This window comes from Homo sapiens, chromosome 2, assembly GCF_000001405.40.
Source record: "Homo sapiens chromosome 2, GRCh38.p14 Primary Assembly".
In the NCBI taxonomy this organism is placed as follows: Eukaryota; Metazoa; Chordata; class Mammalia; order Primates; family Hominidae; genus Homo; species Homo sapiens.
The window spans coordinates 202134317-202158846 of record NC_000002.12 but is presented as its reverse complement, the minus strand read 5'-3'; the positions used below and the strand labels follow the sequence as shown (position 1 = coordinate 202158846).

Genomic DNA, 24530 nt, shown 5'->3' with positions numbered 1-24530 from the left:
TATTGCTATTTTCTTCCCTACTACCATGACCTAACCCTGATAATTTAAAAAGTCCCTGAAAAAAACCTCTATCCTTATTCATTCATCAATTACCATTTCTTTTTGAAAAAACACAAATTGAGTTTTTAAAAACATGGTTCAAAAAATTTTTTTTTCTTTTTTGATTTAGAAAACAGGCTGGTCTCAGCTGGGTGCAGTGGCTCACGCTAGTAATCCCAGCACTTTGGGAGACTGAGGCAGGTGGATCACCTGAGGTCAGGAGTTTGAGACCAGCCTGGCCAACATGGTGAAACCCTGCCTTCAGTGTTGTAAAGAGGTTCTTAAAATGTGAGAAGTTCACATGCAACAAATGGAAAATGAATGAATGCTCTCCTGTAGTAACGTGAGCCTGCCTCTGCCACAACATTGTGCTATTACCTGTTTCATTGTTTATCTTCCTGTTAGATTCTAGGCTCCCTGGAAGGTCAAGGATAGAGATGATTCATCTCTGTATCCTCAGTGCCTATCACAGTGTCTGATACTCAGAGCATATTTAATATATGTTGGCTGAGGGGGCCGGGCACGGTGGCTCACGCCTGTAATCCCAGCACTTTGGGAGGCTGAGACAGGCGGATTGCGAGGTCAGGAGATGGAGACCATCCTGGCTGACATGGTGAAACCCCGTCTCTACTAAAAATACAAAAAATTAGCCTGGCATGGTGGCGGGCGCCTGTAGTCCCAGCTACTTGGGAGGCTGAGGCAGGAGAATGGCATGAACCCAGGAGGGGGAGCTTGCAGTGAGCCAAGATCGTGCCACTGCACTCCAGCCTGAGTGACAGAGAGAGACTGTCTAAAAATAAAAATATGTTGGCTGAGGGGAACCGAATGATCAGTGGGAGAGAAAGCTTTATATTGTCTCCACAGAACTTGAGTGGGACTGGAGGGAAGGGCAAAATCCTGTGGGGTCAGAAAATCTTCCTGGTGCAGATGGAATGTGTCCATAGGAATGGAATTTTCTAGAAGGAGTGCTGGATGCTTAGCTAACATGATAGGCAGTGTTTTTGATTGGACAGGGCTCAGCTGGGGGCTGCAGTGAGGCTTTATAACAGATGGTTGAGCATAGGCACTGGAACTGGGCTGCCTGACCAAATCTTGCTTCTGCCATTTACCAACTGTGTGACATTCGGTAAGTTACTTAGCCTCTCAATGCCTTAGTTTTCTCATCTGTAAAATGGAGTAATTCTACATACTTAGATTCATTTTATGAATTAAATAAATGCATGCATATACAATTTAGAACAAAGCCAGACACAGAATAAGTCCTCAGTAATGTTAGCAACTGTGATTATTTTTATCTCTTTCCATTCCCTTGTTCTGCCTTGACCTTTCTTATCACCTACCCTCATCCCCTGCAACGTGCAATGCTTCCTACATGCCCCAGGCAAAAATGAATGACATGCCCTGCGGACAGGCAGGAGATACACAAATGAATGTATAGGATGAGTTGGTTTCCACACAGCTCCAGGTGTGGAGGACAGCCTGTGTGCTCTTCTCTGTTTGAACTCATCATCTTTGTCTGTACTACCCTGAGACTGTGTCTTACTACATGGCAATCCCCAGGAATCTGGGAGCTACCACATCCATAAGGAGAAGGTCTATCTAGGGAGAGCAGTGAACACTGAACATTTCCAAGAGAAGGTCTTTGGGGCAAAGACTGGTCTGGGAGTCAGAAAGTGTACCGAGCGTGTACTTCGTGAGTCCTTTGGAAGCAGGCTGAGTTGCCATTTCTGTGAGTCTTGAGGGAGGTGGACAGGAAAGTGGGCCTTAGGGATGACAACACTTTTCCTTCTATAATACTGTGCCAAAATTGCTGGACAAAAAAAGTGTAATACAAAAGCATTGTGGATACTAAATATACAAGCAATTATTGTAAAATTCCCCACTTTGAATTCTGCGTTCTTAGATGCTCCATATTTTCTTTTTGAGACAGAGTCTCACTCTATCACCCAGGCTGGAGTGCAGTGGCGTGATCTGGGCTCACTGCAAGCTCCACCTCCCGGGTTCATGCCATTCTCCTGCCTCAGCCTCCCGAGTAGCTGGGACTACAGGTGCCCACCACCACACCCGGCTAATTTTTTGTATTTTTAGTAGAGATGGGGTTTCACCGTGTTAGCCAGGCTGGTCTCGATCTCCTGACCTCGTGATCTGCCCGCCTTGGCCTCCCAAAGTGCTGGGATTACAGGCGTGAGTCACTTTCTTATCTCATTTCCTTAGCAGCTATCACCTTTGAACATGCTACACACTCTGCTTGTGTATTAGGTCTGTTGTCTGTTACCTGTACTATCCTGGAGCAGGGTAGGGATCTTGGTCTGTTTTGTTTACTGATGTATCCCAAATGCCCAGAAACTGCCAAACACATAGTAGATAGCAGGTGCTCAAATATTGGTTAATGAATGGTGACTGTGATGATATTTCCTCCCAGAAAGTACGATTCATAATTCTCTCAGCCCTAAGTGAAGAACTAAACTGTTGCTAAGAATAAAAGGGATAGTTTCACCAGATAAGTCATGGAGTATGGCAGTATTTTTTGAATACTCGTAACAAATATCTTTTCTTTTGACGTCCAGAATCATTCTTCTTTCTTGTAGTTTTTTTTTTCTATAGAGATGGGGTCTCACTATGTTGCCCAGGCTGGGTTGCAGTGGCTATTCACAGGTGTAATCATACCACACTACATCCTTGAACTGCTGGACTCAAGCGATCCTCCCACCTCAATCTCCTGAGTAGCTGAAATTCCTTCTTATAGTTTTCAGTACCCCATTTTCCTCTGTCAGACATCCTTTCTCTTCCCATTTTCAGTCCCTGTGGCTCCAGGGTGGGCCAATGGCATTTCATTTGGGTATGGATAAGTGACCCACATTTGGTTTATATTCAGTACCGGAATGACCTGGGAAATAGAAGCTGGTGGCCAACTTGCCACCCTTGGGGAAGAGCCTATCTAAGAGGAAGCCCCGAAAAGCAGAGCCCAGTCATGGACAGAGACAGATTTTGGGCAAATGCATGACTCTTAATCAAAGCCCCACCTTGTAGAATTGGGATTGGGGCAGCCCAGGGAATTCGGAGGGTGACCCTCATGACCTCCAAAGGCCCTGCCAGTCTATAGCACTAGATAGAGCCACCATCATGCACTCCGCAAGTATTTGGTTTCTTCTGCCCCATTCCTGTCTTTCTCAGTCATTTCTTATCAAAGGCCTGGAATATTTCCTCAAGGGTACTATGAAGGATCTGAGATCCTTCCATGCCAGGCCTGGCTGTGTTCCTGGTCAGTTTCTTTCACTCCATGGCTATTTATTTCCAGTTCAGTAAGCTCTGAGGAGGGCAAAGAATGGGTAGGAAAGGGGCCCTAAACCAGAGAGTGTGCGATGAAAAGGATGGGCCAATTCATGGAGCATTTAATGAGCACCTTCCATGTGTCGGGCACTGTGTTCGATGCTGGGGTGGGAGGGAGTATTGCAAAGATGGACAAATGCCACCCTCACTATAGAAACCCTCAGAACCCTTAACTTGAAATGAAGCTGAGCTTGTGAGATCAATGAACTCTTAGAGAACAGAAAGCAAGGCCAGATATCCAGAAAGGAATTTGCAGTTGACGTCTAAATAGTTAACTCAAGAATCAGTCTTCTCTATAGTAGTAATATCAACTCTACCAAGTGACAGTGGTAAAACAGTAACAATTATTTTAGCTACTGTCAAGATAAAATGAATTATATTTGACTGTTTTATGAGGTGGTTTAAAGTTACTCTTTCTCCTCTCTGTTCCCTGTCCCCCACCACCCAAACCAGACACCCGACTGATTTGTCCCCGATGGCTGGCTGTGATTACTGTCCTAATTTGTTCTTTCTTCATCTGCTACAAACTGCCTATTTTCTGTCCCTTCTGATAATGCAGGAGCTCTGAGGGACTTCTGAAGCTGTTTTTGTACCATGCAGAAGTGTATTAACTGGAATTCCTGTGTTTGTGTCTATAAAACCCCTCGTCTTCTCAGTGTGAGATCACCTTCAGGAACGGCGTCATGTCGATGTGCAGCTTGCGCGTGTAAAATTCTTTTCTGTTTGAACATATCAGCGCTTTATTTATACAACTTTGAGGCTCTCCTGTCTTCTGAGCTGCTGCCTCCAAGGACTGCTGGGCTCCCTGTGAAGAGAAGCAGAAAGCCCGAACTTTCATATGAATGATATACAGTGCAACAAGAGCTAGTCCAAATCCCCAAATATTTACAGAAGGCAATTTTAAAAATCATTGAAACAATAATACGCAGCAACTATTGTTACTGTTGAAGACACAGAGGACCCTATAGAGAGAAAATAGCCCAAGACTGTTTATTAATTAATGCCTACGGAAGTGGAAAAAGGGACCTTCCTAGGTCCCAGGGCTTTAATTATTTAACCCTCACAACAACCCTGTAAGGCAGGTACTGTTACTCCCATTATACAGACAGGAAACCAGGAGGCTCTGGGAGGTTAAGCAACTTGCCCAAAGCCATTAGCTGCTATATGGCAGAGCTAAAATTACCATCTGTTGAAGGCTCCTTTTTAATGAGATATTTTTGATACTTATATAGTGGCTGAATGGTTATCAAATCTGCTTTGCAGCAAATATGGTTATAGCAAGATTCCAGTTTATTTCCAAGATGACAAAAATGAATTTGATATGTTAGGAAGACTGATTTGAACAAATGTAGCAGAGACAGAAAGAAGAATGAGCTAACAGAGGAGTCTGGGAGGCCCCGGGGGCTCTCCGAGCTTCTGGGCTGTACAAAGGGTGTCACATTTCAGGACACCACAGAATTGGATCTGAAGTTGCCCTCCAGCCCATGCCCCACATTGCAACCTGGCTGCTCCTTCGAAGATGCATACTGGACCATATCACTTCTCTGCTTGATACCTTCAAAGGCCATTGTCCTCAAGAGGAAGGCCAACTGGCTTACAAGGTTTATAAGCCCTTCCTGCCTGGCCCTGGATGATCTCTCCTGCTTCATTTAGTCACACAACAAATATTTATTGGGTGTCTTTTCTATGCCAGGCAGAGCAGATAGGGCAGTGCCCAAAGGGATGAAAGTCTCCACCCTCATGAAGAGTGCACATCCATTCCACTGAAAGGGAAGACAGAATCAATAAGGAAGTGGAACATAAGTACATCTGAAGGTGGTTTGTGACAGGGAGAAAAATAAAACACAAAGTGGGCTGAGGGAATAGCTGGGGATGGAAGTGGAGGCTGCAATTTTAAGCAGAGAGTCAAGGAAGGTCCCATGAAAAAGCAATGACTGAGCAAAGCTCTGAAGATGGTGAGGGAAGGTTCTAAGGTCTATCTGCATGAAGTGTTTACTTGGCTATGGGAATAGCAGGTGCAGAGGGCCACATGGGCACCAGCCCTTGAGCTCCTGGAGCAAGACCTTTGTAAGTGTCCTTCCCTCTCCCCTTCTTCTGACTCTTCTTCATCTTTCAAGTATGGCTTCCCTGTGCCCCTGTGACCACCCAGAGCATGAGCACCTCCCCACCATTGACCACAATGATTGCTGAGGCTTGTGCAGCCATCTCTCCTCCTCCTCTAGACTGGAAGCCCCCTGAAGGCAGGAACCATGGCTGTTCCGTTCCCATTGTCCCAGCAGTTTCTGGCACAGGGTCTGGAAATGAACACACACTTGATACATATTGGCTGAACAAAAGAGTAACTAACAGGTTATGGCCCACCTCAATTCAAAGGAGGAGGGAGCAGTGAAGATACCTTTACAGGAAGTATGTGTTGACTTCCAGAAGACAGTCCTCTAGGTAGCACTGGTTCCTCATTTCCAAAGATAAAATTTATTATTTTTGGGACAAATTTGCTGGGGTCACATACATTAATATGTCATGAGATCACCCTGAGTGTGGATTTGATAATTTCCATATTTTCTAGGAGACTCTCAGAAGGCCATCTCCCTGGGCAGTCATAAACTCTCCCTCCCATAACATTTATATTACTTTTAAACATTAATGATGAATTAACAATTGGTGAGTCCCCACAAACAGTCATCATTCCAATGAACACCCACACCCTTTTCTTTTGCTTTGAAATGTGGCTAGAGATAAAGATTTTTCTGGATAAACACACATCCAATTTTTTTATCATCTCAGCCACATATCTGATTAGCTTTTCAGGGTGAGACAGTCCCTCTCCATTTCTCGATAAAATGAAAGCATTTGGTCCAAGCTAGACTCAGACAAGGCATTTCAAGCTTTCTAGCCTCCACAATCATGCATGAATCACTGGATAGAATAATAGAAATCAGATGATAATGATTTGAGGGAAATTTCTCCATTATCCCCAAGAGAAGATTTTGTGTTAGATGGGAGAACAAAAGGCATAGTCAAGACGAGTTCCAACGCCTGAAATTACTTTAACTCCTTATTTGGGGCTCAGATTGAAGAGTGGGGGAGTTGAGAGGCTTTGAGAAAAGTCTCCCCAAAGCACTTGACCTATAAATCTTTCGATAAAACAATTCTCCTGACCATATGGCTCATCTCCCTAATGTTCAGAGGCCATCAATTCTAACTTGATGGAATGTTTTGAGTGAAGGCTCTATACCCACTGGAATGTGAAGTACTGTTTTTGCTCATTACGTTCAAGTGTTCTAATGAATGAATGATAGTGAAAGGGGATTTGGGATATGGGAGGAAAAAAAAGATTAAACATATAAAGAAGAGGTAGTGATGGGAGAAGAAAAAGTCAGAAAATTGAAAGCAGGAAAGAAAGTCGCATGCTAGGTCCGGTGCAGTGGCTCATATCCGTAATCTCATCACTTTGGAAGGCTGAGGCAGGAGGATTGCCTGAGTTCAGGAGTTTGAGGCCAACCTGGGCAACACAGTGAGATCCTGTCTTTACAAAAAAATTTAAAGAAAATTAGCTGGGTGTGGTGGTGTGTGCCTGTAGTCCCAGCTACTCAGAAAGCTGAGGTGGTAAGATCCTTGAGCCCAAGAGTTTGAGGCTGCAGTGAGCTATGATCATGCCACTGCACTCCAGCCTGGGCAACAGAGTAAGGCCCTGTCTCTAAAATAAATAAATATAAAAGTAATAACAAATACAAAAATAAAAATGAAAGTCACGTGCTTGGTTGGTTTTTCATTTATCCATTAAACTGATATTTATTAAGTGCCTACTATGTGTCAGACAAACAAACACACACATAAGCAAGATGATGCTTTTAGGTGGTGACTAGTCTGTGAAGACAACACAATGGTGCTAGGAGGGAGGGTAATGGGAAGGGGGTGGCCGCTTGGCTTAAATGGTCAGAGGAGGCTGCTCTGAGGAGAGAGCTGGATGACAAGCTGGAGCCAGCCCTGGATGAATCTATCTTTAGCAATCAGGGTAGCTGGTATCTCTGTGGTCTGATTATTTATTTATTGAATTATTTTATTATTATTATTATTTTTTGAGACAGAGTCTTGCTCTGTTGCCCAGGCTGGAGTGCAGTGGCGCAATCTTGGCTCACTGCAACCTCTGCCTCCCTGATTCAAGCAATTCTCCTCCTTTAGTCTACCGAGTAGTTGGGACTACAGGTGTGTGCCACCATGCCCGGCTAATTTTTGTATTTTTAGTAGAGATGGGGTTTTGCTATGTTGGCCAGGCTGGTCTCGAACTCCTGACCTCAGGTGGTCCACCCGCCTTGGCCTCTCAAAGTGCTGAGATTACAGGAGTGAGCCACCGTGCCTGGCCCTGTGGTCTGATTATTTAGAGGTAAGCAGGGGATCTTTTAAAAGGAAATTGGAATTCCTGATTTCTAGGCCTGTCTGCCCCAGTCTTCTGGGCTCCATCCTTGACCCCATGAGGCACCCCTCTGTTTTCTGAGTGGCAGAGCAATCAAAACTGACACTTGCAGCTCTTGGGTATGTTGAGAGCAAAGACAGAAGAATAAATAGTGATCAGGAGTCAAGGTCTCTAAAGGTACAGGAGAGAGAAGAAAACACAAGGTTAAATGGAAGGGAAGGAAAATGGGGGAACTGAAGAAAGCAGAGATGCCTGAAGGTTTTTTGTTTCTTTTATGTGAATACTTTGGTGGAGATGATTTAAAAACTAATGGAATGGACAGGTGCGGTGGCTTATGCCTGTAATCCCAGGACTGCGGGAGGCTGAGGTGGCTGGATCACTTGAGGCCAGCAGTTCAAGACCAGCCTGGCCAACACAGCAAAACCCATTTCTACTAAAAATACAAAAATCAACCAGGCATGGTGGTGCAAGCCTGTGGTCCCAGCTACTTGGGAGGCTGAGGCATGAGAATTGCCTGAACCCAGGAGGTGAGCGTTATAGTGAGCGGAGATCGCGCCACTGCACTCCAGCCTCGGCGACAGAGCGAGACTCTGTCTCAAAAAAAAACACAAAAAACAAAAAACAAAAAAACAAACAAAAAAACCCCACACCAAACAAACAAACCAAAAAAACTGATGGAATGGTGAAATGTTTAGCAGAAAAACAGAACCCATCCCTTCACCTATATTGTACTGCAAATACTTTAATATTTTTATGTTCTGCTAAAAACACCTGGAAGCCTTTCTCTTTAGTAAATGAAACAATAAAGATTAACGAGTTAATTTGGTAAAGCTGATTTGAATTGCACAGAAGGCATTGCGTAAATACTTGGCATTTAAAAAGTTATCTGACATTTAAAAGGAGATGACTGTTAATGAATTCAAGAGCTAATCTTATACTCTGACAGAGTGAGCCATGGAAAATCCAGGATTATTATCTTGCTGTAAACACAATGTGATTCAGTTGAGCTATCACACAGAAAAAAGGGAGAGCTATTGGTTCCGTACAAATATCTAGACTTACACACATATATAATATAGCAAAACTTAAAGAGAACATCCATTAAAATTACAGACGCATCTTACTGTTTCCTTTCTTACTCTTGGATTATAATATCTGAGCTACAGACCCAGGGAGAAATCCTTCTCCCCAGTAATTTTTCCTCCTCCTTTCAACTGTTATATTTTAAATGGTCACTACCATGGGTTGGCTCTCCAAACAGACTTTGGGAAGTCTAACCTTAAGAAGGAGATGAAATTCTAAACCCAAGTGGCTGTGTCTCCACCCTGGGTCCCACAGAGCCACCAGAGATAAGGATCTGTCCTGTAGGTGTCCCTCCGGCCCTCCTCATTACTTCTCCCACTCCTTTCTAATTGGGGTTCCCCATCTTTGTAGCTGCGGTTTAATGGCTCCAAGAAGAGCGATTGTCTCTCATTAAGGAGGCTGCAACACTCTCACTGTCTAACTCCCTCCCACGCAGCTCACAACTTCATTCTGCCGGAGAACAGGCTGCCAAGAGGCTCCGGGAACCTGCGGGCAAGCTGAGCTGGAGGAAGAAAACAGAAAGGAGGAGGGCCTTTGTAACCAAGATCTGAAATGTGCTGGGGCACACACCCCGCCATTATCTTAACGTTTGAAGAGCGGGTCGGGGGAGCCTTTGCTGAAACCCTTAGGTGGTCTCTCAAGTTGCCACATCAAACCTCTGTGCACAAAGGGCATTTGTCGCCTCCTGTGAGTAAACAAAAGGAAGAGTCAGTCCCTCCTCTGACCCCCAGGCTCCCCTCGTTGGCTGATAGTCTGTCCTTTGACTCCCCTTGGTTGGCTCTGAGTCCCAGGGGCACACAGAGATCTGAGAGATTTAGTCACTGGGGGTAGGGGAGAAGGAGGGCTGGGATTCTGAGCTTCCCTGTCCTCCCGCCCCCTGCTAGGGTAGGGGAACTAAATCCTGGAAGGGGCCCTTCCTGCAGGAGCAAAGGGCCTGGCAACTTTCCCCGTGTTTGGCCTTCCCGGGCCCTGTTGTTCCTTGCCCATGGCAGCCTGCGGACCTAAAAGCGGGCAGTGGGAATGGGGCCAGACGTGGGGCTGAGCGTACCTGGGACTCCGTGGGCTCCCTGAGATGGGACTGCCTAGGAAGGGGATCCGAATGGGCCGGGCGTTGTATACATTGTCAACCTCAGGCTGACTTGGAGGGCACTCTGTCTGTGGCAAGGCCGACCACCCTGGCCACCCCCAAAGTCCTCACTTTGAGGTTCTGTCTCTGTCTAGGTTTCCCTGGCTGGAAGGGAGGAGGCCTCCAGTGTGCAGGAGGTCAGATGGACGCCTGGGATCTCAGCTCAGCAACCCAGCCTGGCCGCATAGCCTCTTTCTGAGGAGCAGCAGAACCCCCGAGCCACAGCGGGCTTCCACCCACACAAATGTGCCCAGCAGTCTAGCACCTGTCACCTGGGGTCATCCTGCTCTTCTTGGCCACGTGAGGTCTGGGCCCACTTTTTACATTCTGCAGGGAATTTGGTGCTGGTGAAATGGGCTGAGTGGGCCGTTTTGCGAGGGCTCCACAAGTAGGCACGGTGGAGACAGTTAGTTTGGTAGCCAAACAAGAGCTTTCTTGTTCTCCGCCTGTCAGGAATTTTGGTCTTCATCTATTTTTTAATGTCCTCAACTTTATAGAAGGAGATTTGACATCCTCCTGAGTGTTTAGCAAATTAGCCGAACAGCTAGCAAACATGAGCCTCGGAAGAGAAACATGGCAACCTCCAATCTTTGCTCCTGTGAGGGGCTCATTTCGTGACTTTGGCTAAGTCATTCTGTGCCTCAGCTTCCCTACCTAGAAAATGGGGCTAAGCTCATTGTTCTCTTCCAGGAAATTCTGAATGAAACTCTGGACACTTTCATTCCAGAGCTTCTACTATAAGTAAATCTTAGCTGTGAGTTCTAATTGCTATTGTCTTCAACATTATTACGTGCTTTGTTGATACAACAGAATCACTGTTTATCTGGCTCAGCAGGAGCTGGAGGAGAAAAATTTCAAGCCAAAACAGTGATCTCTTCTGCCCCAAGGGAGGTAGAAGCCAGCTTTTTCTGTGAGGGGGTGGCTAGCTGTATTCAGGCCGGAACTGTGCCTGTGTTTGAGAGATGACACATTCTATTTTAGACTGGGAGATGGGACGTCGAGGGGTGAAAGGTGGGAAATCTGAACAACTCCCCAGCTCCTTCTAACTCACAACTTGAACTCAAAACTGTGTGACTTCCTTGTTTTGTTGGGTCTGGTGGGACTTTTGCAATCTGACAACCGACAGACAGGGAATCTCAACTTGCAAACTGATTCCACTGTGAAAAGGTCATTTTTAAATCAGTCGATTTTTACTAGGAAAAAAAAATGGTGTTTTGATTCCCAGACTCGCCCATAAAAGTTTAACCCAAATTCAGCCGGACTATGGAGTTGAAGTAGTCCTGGTCATGCGTGACAGCAGAAGGCTGGAAGAAGAGAAAGAAAAATGTCCTTTCTTTTACTTTCCTGGCCCTCCACACTTTCCTGACCCCTTCCCCTCCACTGGGCTCTTCTGTCCTCCGACCTCTACATTTTCCTCTGCAGCCCTGTGCTGTGGGCCGTGGTGCCCTGCTGACACAGTGCTCCTGGCCCCCAAATTCCCTGCCTCCCCTCTGCCCCTAGACCTTCAGCTGTGCGCCCTTAGGTATATGGCGAAAGCAATTAAGAAACTTTCACAAAGAGGTATGAGGAACCCAAAATAATCTCTAATGGTTAGAATTTTAAACAGTGAAACACAGTGAACACTCCAGAAGGCATGGAGGATATTTGGGAGGCAGAGAGAGGGATGCTTGAATTGGGGGTTGGGGATGGGAAAGGGAGGAACAATTGGTAGATTGACTCATTGTCCTCCTTTAAATTATTCCTGCTTTTCAAGCTTCTCCTTTTCCATGTCTAAACCTTTAGATTGTATACAAGCTCCAAGTTCTGTTTTATAATGGCTTTCAAGGAAAGGGACAGGGGAGTACAACAGTAATGATTATAACGTATTGGGGGCTGCCTACTGCCAAGCATTGTGTGAATCCCTTTCAATATGTTTCATCTCATCCTCATCATGACCCCATGAGGGAAATATTATTACCCTATGAGGAAACTGTGCCTCAGAGAGGTTAAATAGCCTGCCTAAAGCCACATAGCCTATAAGGAAGAAGTTGGGATTTATTTTATTTTATTCATTTTTGAGACAGAGTCTTGCTCTGTCACTCAGACTGGAGTGCGGTCGTATGACCATGGCTCACTGCAGCCTTGACCTCCCAGGCTCAAGCAATCCTCCTGCCTCAGCCTCCTGAGTAGCTGGGACTACAGATATGCACCAACACACCTGGCTTTTTTTTTTTTTTTTTTTTTGAGATGGAGTCTTGCTCTGTCACCCAGGCTGGAGTGCAGTGGCGCAATCTCAGCTTACTGCAACCTCCACCTCCCGGGTTCAAGAGATTCTTCTGCCTCAGGCTCCCGAGTATCTGGGACTACAGGTGAGTACTACCACACCTGGCTAATTTTTTGTATTTTTAGTAGAGACAGGGTTTCACTTTGTTAGCCAGGATGGTCTCCATCTCCTGACCTCGTAATCCACCCACCTCAGCCTCCCAAAGTTCTGGGATTACAGGCGTGAGCCACTGCACCCGGCTGCTACTTTTTTATAGAGATGGGGTCTCACTTTGTTGCCCAGGCTGGTCTCAAACTCCTGAGCTCAAGTAATCCTCCAGCCTTGGTCTCCCAAAGTGCTGGGATTATGGATGTGAGCCACCACTCCTGGCCTAGAAGTTGGGATTTAAATGCAGCTTTATTGGATTTCCAAATGACTAGGCCTCTTTAAAGTGCGGTTCATGTGTGAAAGGGGCCCTATTAGTCCTGACATCTATTTCCTTATCTGTAAACAGGGATAATAACTGTACCAACTACATGGGGATGTTGTAAGGATGAGATAATCCTAAACCCTGTGCATAGTAAAACTCAAAAACATTGGCTGTTTTTACCATTTAAAAAGACCCTCTTGGCCAGGCGGGTGGCTCAAGCCTGTAATCCCAGCACTTTGGGAGGCCAAGGTGGGTGGATCACCTGAGGTCAGGAGTTCAAGACCAGCCTGGTCAACATGGCGAAACCCCGACTCTACTAAAACTACAAAAATTAGCCGGGTGTGGTGACGGGCGCCTGTAATCCCAGCTACTTGGGAGGCTGAGGCAGGAGAATCGCTTGAATCCTGGAGGCAGAGGTTGCAGTGGGCCGAGACTGTACCACTGCACTCCAGCCTGGGCAACAGAGTGAGACTCCATCTCAAAAAAAAAAAAAAAAAAAAAAAAGACCCTCTCAAGAGAATGGGGAGATAATTGTTAAAGCTTGTGATAGGTATGTGGAGGTTCATCATACTATCCTTTTACATATCTTTGAAATTTTTCATAATACAAAGAAAAAAGGAAAAAAATTAACTACGCAGATATTATGTGTCACTAGCAGCCAAGACATCGATTAATACAGACTTATTGGAATAAATGATAGTTGCAGTGAAAACTCAGCAAATAAAAGCCTTCCTTTTGTAATTAAAAACAAACCCCTCTCAGGAAATTAGCCTTAAATTGTCTAGGGCGTTTTGGGGCAGACAAAGTAATCCTGTGGGTAAGGTTGAACCAGAAGATGAAGTTTGCTTAGATCTTCAAAAAGCCTTTGAATAAAGTTCCACAACCAAAGCTATTTACAAAACCAGAGGGGTGGGGAGAGAGAGAAGGGAGAGTGAGCACAGGCATGGAAATAGGTGAACGTTGGCAGTGTCTTGGAAAAGACAGCTGACTTTAGAAACAAGAAACAAAGGCAGGGTAGGGAGTCAAGAGCACTTCTCTTGATGGGGAAATGCAGAAGCGAATTCTCTTAGGCATTGGTGTGGAGACCAATCTTACTTGTCAGCCTCAGAGAGATCTCCAAGAAGGATGCCTAGTGACATCCCCGAGTCTGCACATGACCCAAAGCTTTTCCAGAGAAGGAAAAACCAAATCATAATGACCAATGGCAGGAAATGCCCAGAGATTGTGTGAGTTGTGGGGAAAATATCAGTTGAACTTCCATCTCATTATCACTGAAAATAAAACAAGTGCAATCTCTGAATTCTACTTAGAGGAGATAGGGTTTTTCTATTCAGAACATGGATCTTAATGTTAATGACAGGTTTAGTTTCACTTTGTTGCCCTGGCTAGTTTCGAACTTCTGGTTTCAAGTGATCCGCCCACCTTGGCCTCCCAAAGTGCTGGGATTACAGGTGTGAGCCACTGTGCCCGGCCTGTTGATTTATTTTTGAGTGGCTCCCATGTACCAGGAACTGTGCCAGACACAAAGGATACAAAGGCAGATAACAGCCTTATAGAAGGCAGGGTAGGGTACGGCTTAAAAGGACACTGAAATAAAAGGTTACGATTGTACCCTTGTACAAAACATAGTGTGTCTACAGGTGTTTTATCTTTTGTTTTTTTTTCGTGTGCATGTTGTTTTTGGTCCTGAAAGAGGAGAGCTGACGGGGATATGAACACCATCTGTGAAACCACCAAGGAAACAGATGGCGGTAAACACAGGTTTATTCAAACCAAATCCTAGTAAGCTAGAATTACAGGCTACTCTTTGAAATCCAAAAGAGATACACTTAGGATACATAAGATTAAATATGAATTTATACTGTTGTAAACTTATGAAACCTGAACTCAAGAGATAGTATAGGTTGAAACAGAAGTGAAGAAAGGGATATAACACCAATTTAACAGGATTTTTAGGATACTATCAAAGTTCTAAGCCCCACAAAGCAACAAAACAAAACCCAAGATAAGGCATGTGAGAAAGGATGTTTGTTCTCCCTAGCCTGGAAATAGTTTAAACAAAGGGAGAAAAGTGACAATGTGAAAACTGGTGAGATGCTTTCTTTCTTATTTTAAACAAAGAGATGCAATCATTTTTGGGAAATCTAATTAAGGTTTGAGCTTGTACTTTGATACTCTTTACTGACAACCTCTGCCCTGACAGCTCTATAAACAAGTGGGCTCAAGCGCCCCTCTTTTCCCAAGCTTACATAGATGGATCTGGATGGATGAGAGTTTTATGCTCTGAGTTCCAATTTTTCAGAAAGATGAATTCATTGTCCCCCAAAGTCTAGAGTTAGAGGGATAAAATGCCAAAAAGGGATTGAGATCCTTAAAAAGAGAATGCTGATGACTCTATTCAATAAACTAATAAAAACCTGATTAATGTTAAATATTTTAAACCAATGATAATTTGCTAAAAAATAATGGTGCTATGGTGTTGACCCCGTTCAGCTTGCTGAATACTTGTTGTATACACTGAGTCCGAGATTATTTTATGCTAGACTTGAATAAAACCAGCTCTCCTCATGATCTGTCTTTCCTTATAGGTAGAATTTAGAAAAAGGCAAAACAATGAAAAAAAAAAAAAAAGCCCAGGAAAACAAATAACATAATCCACCTCGATTTCAAGTTAGCATGACAGCACTTTTTTCATGCATTATTTGCAAGTCTTTTCCGAATAGATACATTTTTTTTTTTTACATAGTTGCAGTCATAGTTGACTTATTTTGATTTCCACTTTTAAAATGTTAAATCAGGCTGGGCACGGTGGCTCACGCCTGTCATCCTAGCACTTTGGGAGGCCAAGGCGGGTAGATTGCCTGAGCTCAGGAGTTCGAGACCAGGCTGGGCAACACAGTGAAACCCTGTCTCTACTAAAATACAAAAAAATTAGCTGGGAGTGGTGGCATGATCCTATAATTCCAGTTACTTGGGAGGCTGAGGTAAGAGAATTGCTTGAACCCTGGAGGCGGAGGTTGCAGTGAGCCGAGTTTGTGCCATTGCATTCCAGCCTGGGTGACAGAGCAAGACTCTATCTCAAAAAGAAAAAAAAAAAAAAAAAAAAATTAAACCAGTGGTTGTCAATTGGAGGTGATTTCGCTCCCCAGTGGGCATTTGGCAGGGTCTGGAAACATTTTTGATTGTCACAACTGGGGAGGGTTGTGCTACTGGCATCTAGTATACTGCTTAACATCCTGCAATCAACAGGAAAGTTCCCCACAACAAAGACTATCTGGTCCAAAATGTCAGTGATGTTGCCTGTTAGTTAAACATTAGTATTAAATCTCAGTTTCTAGTATGAACAATCATTCTTTTTTAATGCTTGAAGTCAACCCTTCACTGAGGGTGAAACTGCCATTGCCAAATTATAACTGAGACAGTGAAACAGATCTGACCTAACCAACTCCATCTTGATTCTAACCTCCAGGCTGTCCTTGTTCATTCCTGGGTGTAGGCTGAACTAACTTTGGGAGGATCTTAGTTTACAGTTTAGCTTTGAAACAAAGACGATAACAGCCCTTTCCCAAAACAAGTCCCCTTCCTACTTGTGAACCAGACTGCCTTTGCAGGACTAACAAATTAGCCACAAAATTAGAAATTATGGTTTAGGAGTCATGCGGCTGGAGGCCACAAGATTCTAAACCTCCCCAAAATCATTTCTCTGATGTTACACTCTTAGGCTGTTTCCAGATTTTCTCTGTTATAGATAATGCTGCAATGGACATCTTCACTGACTTTTTTCTTTTTTTCTGTTGAATTATTTCCTTAGGATAAATTCCCGGAAGTCAGAAATACATAATCAATGGATATTTCATGTTTTTCATGTTTCATGAGTTATATTGCCATTTTGCTTTACAAAGGGATTGAACCAAGACTGTGTTCCACCAGAAGTGTATAAGTATACCAGTTTTACCAAAACTCTGGCAGCCCTGGGTGTTACCATTTAAAAAGAGTAAGAGAAGGCACAAATCTCAGATATAAGATGGTACTTACAGTTTGCCTCAATATGCATATAAATTGTTAATCAAGATGAATGATTTTTTTCATATTTATTTTCTGTTACTCCTTTTAGGATATGAATTGTTTCTGTCTTTTGTTTATTTTTCTCCTGGTTCTCAATGATTTTCTTTTAAAATTGGAGGTAATCTTTACTGAGTATAGATGGTAAAGTTAATGAAACTATTTTACTTTTTTTTCTAGTTTTACTTCCTCCCACCACTGTCTAGCTATATTAATATTTCCTCTTGAAATTTTCATTTATAATTTTAATACTCTTTTTAGGTGCTGGTCACCTTACCCAACCTGCGGCCTCTACACAGAGAGGCCTTGGGGGAGAGGAAAAGCTTCTCCAGTGATTGATGTCAGCAGCTCACCGAGGTAAGAGCAATACTCTGTCTCTGAAAGTATCCCGGGAACTAATTTCCCTTAATCAAATGAAGGGCCTTAGGAGGAGCCACGAGGCAGAAATGAAAATAAATCTGAAGAATACCAAATTCTGTGAGGAGTTTGAAAGACCTGCATTAAAAAAGGGCACTGTACCTTCAGGACTGCAGCTCTGGCAATGTTCCATATGCAGCTATTAATATGCAAAAAATGCCTTCATAAATACTTGATTCTGTTCACAGTGGGGAAGCAGTTCATTTGAAAGAGGAAATGGGAGCTTGGAGTTGAAACATGTCTGGTTGTCTCCTTTTTCTTTTTTCATTGCTCTCTTTTCATCTCCACATTTCCCCTTGTAGTTTTCTTACCCCTGCCCCCACCACCTCACCCCCTCTTCCAACTCCTAGGAAGTTGCTGATATCAGTTGCTACTCTCGTTTCTTTTGATGGATTCGCTGCCTAGGCCCCGCTCCTTGGGTCAGGTGTGGAAGGGGTGCCTTGGGAACCATTCCCACCATTTGCCATCATCGTGTGCTGGAGGAAGGAGCCTAACCGTTTCTGCTCCCACTGCAGCTTGGACAGCCTCTGAGGAGACAAGGTGAAGGCTCTCCCATCACAGCGGTAGGGCCTCTGCAGAAGCCTCCAGCCCAGGGAACGCCGTCACCCCAGCCTCTGCAGAGCACCCTGTGGCTTTCTCTCCAACCCACACGCCAGAGATTGTTTTCAAAATCTAGGTCTGCGACTTCTCATTAGAGGGTGGTAATACCAGAATATCCACCTTTGACATGTCTTCCCCTCGCTCAGCTAGCAGGGTGATAAAAGTACAAATCTTTCATGTGACTGAACCCCTAATAGGGTCAGATCCCAAGGAAGGGAGGGAGGGGGCAGCCAGTGGGGGAACTGATGGAAAGGAACGGTGCTGCTAAGATCAGTATTGTGATGTCCTCTGCTTCAGGGTGGGAAAGGCCGCAGGGAAGGAATCCCCTGGATTGCCAGTGGCCCATCAAGGTAGGGAACTGAAATCAGCTGGACAGAAATTTGTTCTAAATGTGTTCCAGATGCTTTATAATAAACATGAAATTAGTCATTGCCATGGAGTAGGCTGAGGAAGTAGTTAAAACTGAAGTCAGTGATTAATCTAATAAGAGGCCATTAGCCTCGAGAAGTAAGCGGGGGTGCAGGAGGCCAGGAAGTCACCCCCACCTCCCTCCCACCCTGTTTTCTCTGTGTTTGGGGCTGGTGGGGCTCCCTAGACTTCTCCTCAGATGCCCTTTCTTTCCAGGGCTGCTTCTAAAGGAATTGGGACTACTGCGACTTGGACAAACCAATGGGTTCTGGTGGGAGCCACCCCATCATTTCACAAAGGAGGCAGGTGCATGGGCTTCTCAGGGAGCTGACTTTCCACAGCCTCACGGGGGGAACCAGCATGAGAGTTTAAGACCCCTCGCTCTGGTGTTCCTTCTTCTGACTACAAAGTTAACAATTCAACCTAGGATTTAATGTGACATGGTTGAGCCCCTCTTTCTTTTTTTTTGAGACGGAGTCTTGCTCTGTTGCCCAGGCTGGAGTGCAATGGAGTGATCTTGGCTCATTGCAACCTCCATCTTCTGCATTCAAGCGATTCTCCTGCCTCAGCCTCCCGAGTAGCTGGGATTACAGATGTGCGCCACCATGCCCAGCTAATTTTTGTATTTTTAGTAGAGACGGGGTTTCACCATGTTGGCCAGGCTGGTCTTGAACTCCTGACCTCGTGATCCGCCCACCTTGGCCTCCCAAAGTGCTGGGATTACAGGCGTGAGCCACTGCACCTGGCTGAGCCTCTCTTTCATTGCAGGTGATAGTAGCTCTTTTGGAATAGAACCGTGGGGCTGTGTGAATTTGGGGTGTGTTTAGGGTATGTGAGGCCTTTGCATGGCCTTTGGGTTGCAGAATTATCAAAATACACCATATTATGTTTTCCTTAGTCACACACTCTTTCAAAAACTCTGTCTCTAGATCCCGTAAATGGGATGTCTGCAAAGTGGGCATTTAAAATATGCAAATGTTGGTTCTGCAGCTCCTTGGCAGCAGGGAGGAGCCGCTCAGCTGCGTTTCACCTCAGTGGAGGCCTGACCCAGGCCTAGGGTTGTCACAGAGAGTTCAGGTCCTACCTCAGAGCCCAGCTCAGGCACGCAGATGAAAGCAAACCCGTTTCTTTATCATTATGTATAATGAGTGCTGGGGAAGAAGAGATAGCTAGGCTGTGGCAGGAAGGAAGGTGGACAGAATGGAGAAGTCAAGATCATGGCCTGGAGGTGTCACACAGTAGGATGAGACCTGGGAGTCCCCTGGAGCTGCATGTGCTGCCTCTGCCTCAGGTTCTCCGAGGCCCTGGATTCAGTTCTAGGAATTCCCCTGAGTTGTCTCTCTAGAGAGAATTTGGAGACAGTTCCAGCTTCAAAGCTTCCAAGGAAGGAACAAACTTATAAATATTTGTGAACATATGTCCTTGAACCACTAATAGATATTCTTTTTTTTTTTTTTTTTTCCTGAGACAGGGTCTCACTCTGGATTCTGGCTGCAGCATGATCTCAGCTCACTGCAACCTCCAACTCCCAGGTTCAAGCGATTTTCCTGCCTCAGCCTCCCAAGTAGCTGGGACCACAGGTGCATGCCACCACACCCGGCTAATTTTTGTATTTTTAGTAGACACGGGGTTGGTTTCACCACGTTGGCCAGGCTGGTCTCGAACTCCTGACCTCAGGTGATCTGCCTGCCTCAGCCTCGCAAAGTGCTGGGATTGCAGGCATGAGCCACTGTGACTGGCCCGCTAATAGAAATTCTTAATGTATCTAGATGAAGCACCATCCTCCTTTCTTCATGATTACCTTTGCACTTTGTTTTTCTTAATTGCTAATGTTTATCTCTAATTACGAATTACTAATTTTACGAATGAAAACTAGTGCCTACTGCCTCACTGGATGCCACCTTTCTGTGTTCCCTTATTCCCTTTCTGACTTTGCAGAAGTCAGGGAAAGACCTTGAGCTTATTCACACAAGTAAAGAGCCAAATAATACAGTCCAAGTTAAGACATTCCAAGTCTAAGAGTAAAGGAACCTCTGTGATTTCATAGTCTACTTGTCTCATTTTACTGATTAGGCAAATGAGGCCCAGAGAGGTAAAGAGTCTCACTGAGGGGCACACAGCAAGCTGAAACAAGAACCCAAGAGTTGTGACTCCTAGTGTCATCCTCATTCAGAGTCAATACTATACCTGCTTCTCTGTTGTTTGGGTCAACGGTGAGGTTTCATAAAGGTTCATGTGAAGATTGGCTCTAGGTTCAGTGTTTGCTGTAGTGAAAATCAAAGAGGAAAAAAGATCAAGGTGGTCAGATCTGGATCTCATGACTTTTTATATATACCATACACACACACACACCTAGTTCATATGTATGTAAGATTATAAGCACATATACACCCATGGCATTCATAATTTACTCACCAAAAAACACCTGTAACCTCTATAGGCATAGCCTAAACACCATGTTAAACATAGTGTTAAGACCTTATATTCAAACATATATTATTCTTGTTTTGGTTGCTCTTTAAAAGAACAAAAGTAAATTCTTTATGCTATTAAAATTCAGATAAAGCTGAAATTAAAAAGGAAATATTGATGGAAAAAAATCTGCTGATGCTGTTGAGTATAAATTTTGTATGACTGCACTTCACTGAAGTAGGAAAAGGCTTCTGCAAACTTCCAAATAGAGAGATCAGAGGCTTCCCTTTTTCCTCATAATGTGGAGGGGCAAGAGGAAGGGTGGAAACATGAATCAAACAAAGGCAAACGCCAAAGTGGGGATGGAGGGAGGGGACTAACAGAAACCATGGAAACCGCGGAGCCAGCCGGGAAGAAGGCACCACCCGGACACCAGCATGGGGCTGTCGTGTGATGGCCATGACTCCCCTCCATGTTGTCATTGTCAATGTTCTCTATAGGTGTGGCAGCTGAGGTGCAAAAGGTATAGTAACCCACTCAAAGTTGTACCACTAGTGAGGTTTTGAGTAAGGATTTCCCTCCAAGACTGCCCGACCCTAAAACTCCATGGCGCAAAAGGATAGGTTTTATTTTGCTTTTCTTTTTTTTCCCTTAAGAAAGTAAATTTGGTCAGGTGCGGTGGCTCATGCTTGTAATCCCAGCACTTTGGGAGGCCGAGGTGGGTGGAGTGCTTGAGGCCAGGAGTTCGAGACCAGTCTGGCCAACAAGGTGAAACCCCATCTCTACTAAAAATACAAAAATTAGCCGGGCGTGGTGGTGCGCGCCTGTAGTCGCAGCTACTCCGGAGGCTGAGGCAGGAGAATCACTTGAACCTGGGAGGCAGAGGTTGCAGTGAGCTGAGATCACGCCACTGCACTCCAGCCTGGGTGACAGAGTGAGACTCCATCTCAAAAAAAAAAAAAAAAAAAGTAACTTTAATGTTCTAAAGGAATGTTTATTTGAGGAATAGATTTAGCTAAGCACATGGCTCTACTGACGAAGGGTTTAGTTTCTTCTGTGGGACGAATGTCCAACAAAAAGTTCTTTCCATACTTGATACTCATAAGTAGCTCTTTTAGGAGCCAATGGCCATATATGACTCTGTATCTTTGTCTTTTTGAACTTAAGCCTCTACTCATTCTTTGTGGGCTGACCTTCCCTTTTCTGTTGTTTCTCAGCTATCTTCTTCTCTTTGAAAATGGCTTTTGCACAGATTTAAAACATTTCTTAGCAGAGTGGTGGCGCGTGCCTGTAATCCCAGCTACTCAGGAGGCTGAGGCACAAGAATCACCTGAACCCGGGAGGTGGAGGTTGCAGTGAGCCGAGATTTACCACTGCACTCCAGCCTAGGTGACAGTGAGAGGTGACAACGTGCTAGCAGCCCTTGCTTACTCTCGGCGCCTCGTTGGCCTCCGCGTCCGCTCTGGCGTGCTGGAGGAGCCCTTCAGCCCGCCGCTGCGCTGTGGGGCCCTTCTCTGGGGCTGGTCGAGGCCTGAGCCTCTGCTCGCCGGGAGGTGTGGAGGGAGAGGCGCAGGCAGGAGCCGGGGCTGCGTGCAGCAGCTCGCTCGTCGGCCGGCGCGGGTTCCGGGTGGGCGCGGACTGGGCCTGTCGCGGCCGACGCCTGCTGGGCTTGATCGGGGGATGAGCTCCCTCTGGGCTGCCGGAGTGCCTGGGCTAGGTGCCGCAAAGTCCCGCAGCGAGTGCTATTGAGAGGTGAAGCCTACTGGGCTTCTGGGTGGGGTGGGGCCTTGGAGAACTTTTCTGTCTAGCTAAAGGATTGTAAATGCGCCCATCAGCAATCTGTGTCTAGCTAAAGGATTGTAAACGCACCAATCAGCAGTCTGTCAAAACGGACCAATCAGCTCTCTGTAAGGACGAACAACGCCAGACAGGAGGAATGAACAACTCCGGATGCGCCACCTTTACAAACTGTAACACTCACCGCGAAGGTCTGCAGCTTCACTCTTGAGGCCAGTAAGACCACGAACCCACCGGAAAGAACGAACAACTCCAGACGTGCTGCCTTTAAGACCTGTAACACTCACCATGAAGGTCTGCAGCTTCACTCCTGAAGTCAGCGAGACCACGAACCCACCAGAAGGAATAAACTCTGGACACACCACCTTTAAGAACTGTAACACTCACCACGAAGGTCTGCGGCTTCATTCTTGAAGTCAGCGAGACCAAGAACCCACCATTTCCGGACACAACAGAGTGAGACTCTGTTTCAAAAAAAATTTTTTTTTTTTTTAAATTTGAATCAGCTTGGGGGAAACTGAGGCCCTGAAAGCATTTTCATTCAATTGGCTCAAGGGCACACCTTGAAATAACACAAGACCAGGACCCAGAACCCAGATGTCCTGACTTAGTGTCTTGCACTTTCCCCTCCACATCACACTGCCTCCCGTTAGCTTCAATGAGCTTGCCACATCACAGCTGCTTTGGCCATGATCCACACTTGGGACAAATCCAGCCCAGCAGAATTGTGTTGTGATGAGGTTCACTACACTGTGGCTTGGAAGGAACCATGGGCCTCTTAGAAATGAAACTTATGAATTCTAATGCATAAGGAAAGTTCTTGCAACACCAGGAGAATGAATCAGTCAGCCAGAGTTCAAGAAATGTAAACACATTTTTAGATAGGAGACTGAAAAATCACTTAGGACTTCTCCATCTCTTGGGTCAAGACCTTGGTAATTTACTGAGGTCCAAGCTGTCAAGGAGGAGACACAACTCAAACTGCATTCCTGGTAGACAGAACAGTGGGGGTGGTAAAACCTCCTTTCAGAACGATGCGGCAAGATCAAGTCAAAGAAACTGTTATCAAGTCAAAGAAACTGATTAACCCATCGACCAACCCAGGTAACTGGCTGCAAACAAAGGCCTGGTTCTTTTTTGTCATTCAGAAACTGGTGTGCACATTCCAGTTTTTACAGTGTATACAGGTTATACAGACTATAGGCTGCACAACTTCCAGGCATGCCTGAAACTGGGAGTTCACAGTCTTTCTGTGATGAACATTTCTGCCACTAAAGAGATAAACAGAAAACACATTCCTTCCTTGGCTGCCCACCATCAGGCCTTAGCAGATTTTCAAATGCTAGCATTAATCTAACCACAGGCTTTTAGTGAGGAGATAGCATTCCCACCAGATAATCAGGCAGTTTTAGAGATGACCCTTACTAGATGGGGTTCTCATCCCAAGCCTCTTCTGCCTTCTTCAAATCATGGACTCCTTCACCAAACACTCAAAACTTGAAAAGCAGGAAAGGGCATCTGATTCTAGCAGGGAATATGGCTCCTTAACATTTCCTTCTATTTAAATCTGCATTGGCTATGTTTAATTCCCAGGTCATTGTTTGTTGTTTTCAATAAAAATGAAACATAGTCGGCAGGGCGTGGTGGCTCACGCCTGTAATCCCAGCACTTTGGGAGGCCAAGGCGGGCGGATCACTTGAGGTCAGGAGTTTGAGACTAGCCTGGCCAACATGGTGAAACCCTGTCTCTACTAAAAATACAAAAATTAGCCAGATGTGGTAGCGGGCGCCTGTAATCCCAGCTACTTGGGAGGCCGAGGCAAGAGAATCACTTGAACCCAGGAGGCGGAGGTTGCAGTGAGCTAAGATCGTGCCATTGCACTCCAGCCTGGGCAACAAGAGCGAAACTCTGTCTCAAAAAAGAAAGAAAGAAAGAAACATAGTCATATTTATTCCCATTGTTTCAGGATGCATATTTGCCTTGGTATGGGACCCTCTTTTGGGCCCCATCTGGTGTCAAAATAGAGATCAGCTCCAAAGAGTCACCTTATTAGGCCAGGCGGGCCACCTGGCTCCTTCCTAGATACATGTCAGGGTTTGGGAAAGAATATCACACCCGTAGGGTCCAAAGTGGCCAAATATCCAGTGGTTACAAGGGCAGTAGCTGTTGG

The 24530-nt window shown here is 45.2% G+C and overlaps 1 protein-coding gene across 2 annotated transcripts in view, besides 1 other annotated feature; it reads right to left on the bottom strand.

Annotated features, from left to right (window-relative positions):
* KIAA2012 overlaps window positions 1–24530 on the bottom strand; it is a 131934-nt gene that overhangs the window by 46342 nt on the left and 61062 nt on the right. For both annotated transcript variants that reach the window (NM_001277372.4, NM_001367720.2), the window contains exons 13-14: window positions 20339–20415; window positions 4037–4174 (exon numbers count right to left, since the gene is read on the bottom strand). In NM_001277372.4, coding sequence (NP_001264301.2) covers window positions 4037–4174; window positions 20339–20415 — 215 coding nt within the window. The remainder of the gene's footprint in view (window positions 1–4036; window positions 4175–20338; window positions 20416–24530) is intronic.
* Window positions 8891–9744: an enhancer, noted in NCBI's record as "NANOG-H3K27ac-H3K4me1 hESC enhancer chr2:203013826-203014679 (GRCh37/hg19 assembly coordinates)". NCBI's record gives its function as "activates a minimal SCP1, AML or CMV promoter by ChIP-STARR-seq in naive and primed H9 embryonic stem cells {active_cell/tissue: H9 hESC(naive and primed)}" and the evidence as "EXISTENCE:reporter gene assay evidence [ECO:0000049][PMID:30033119]".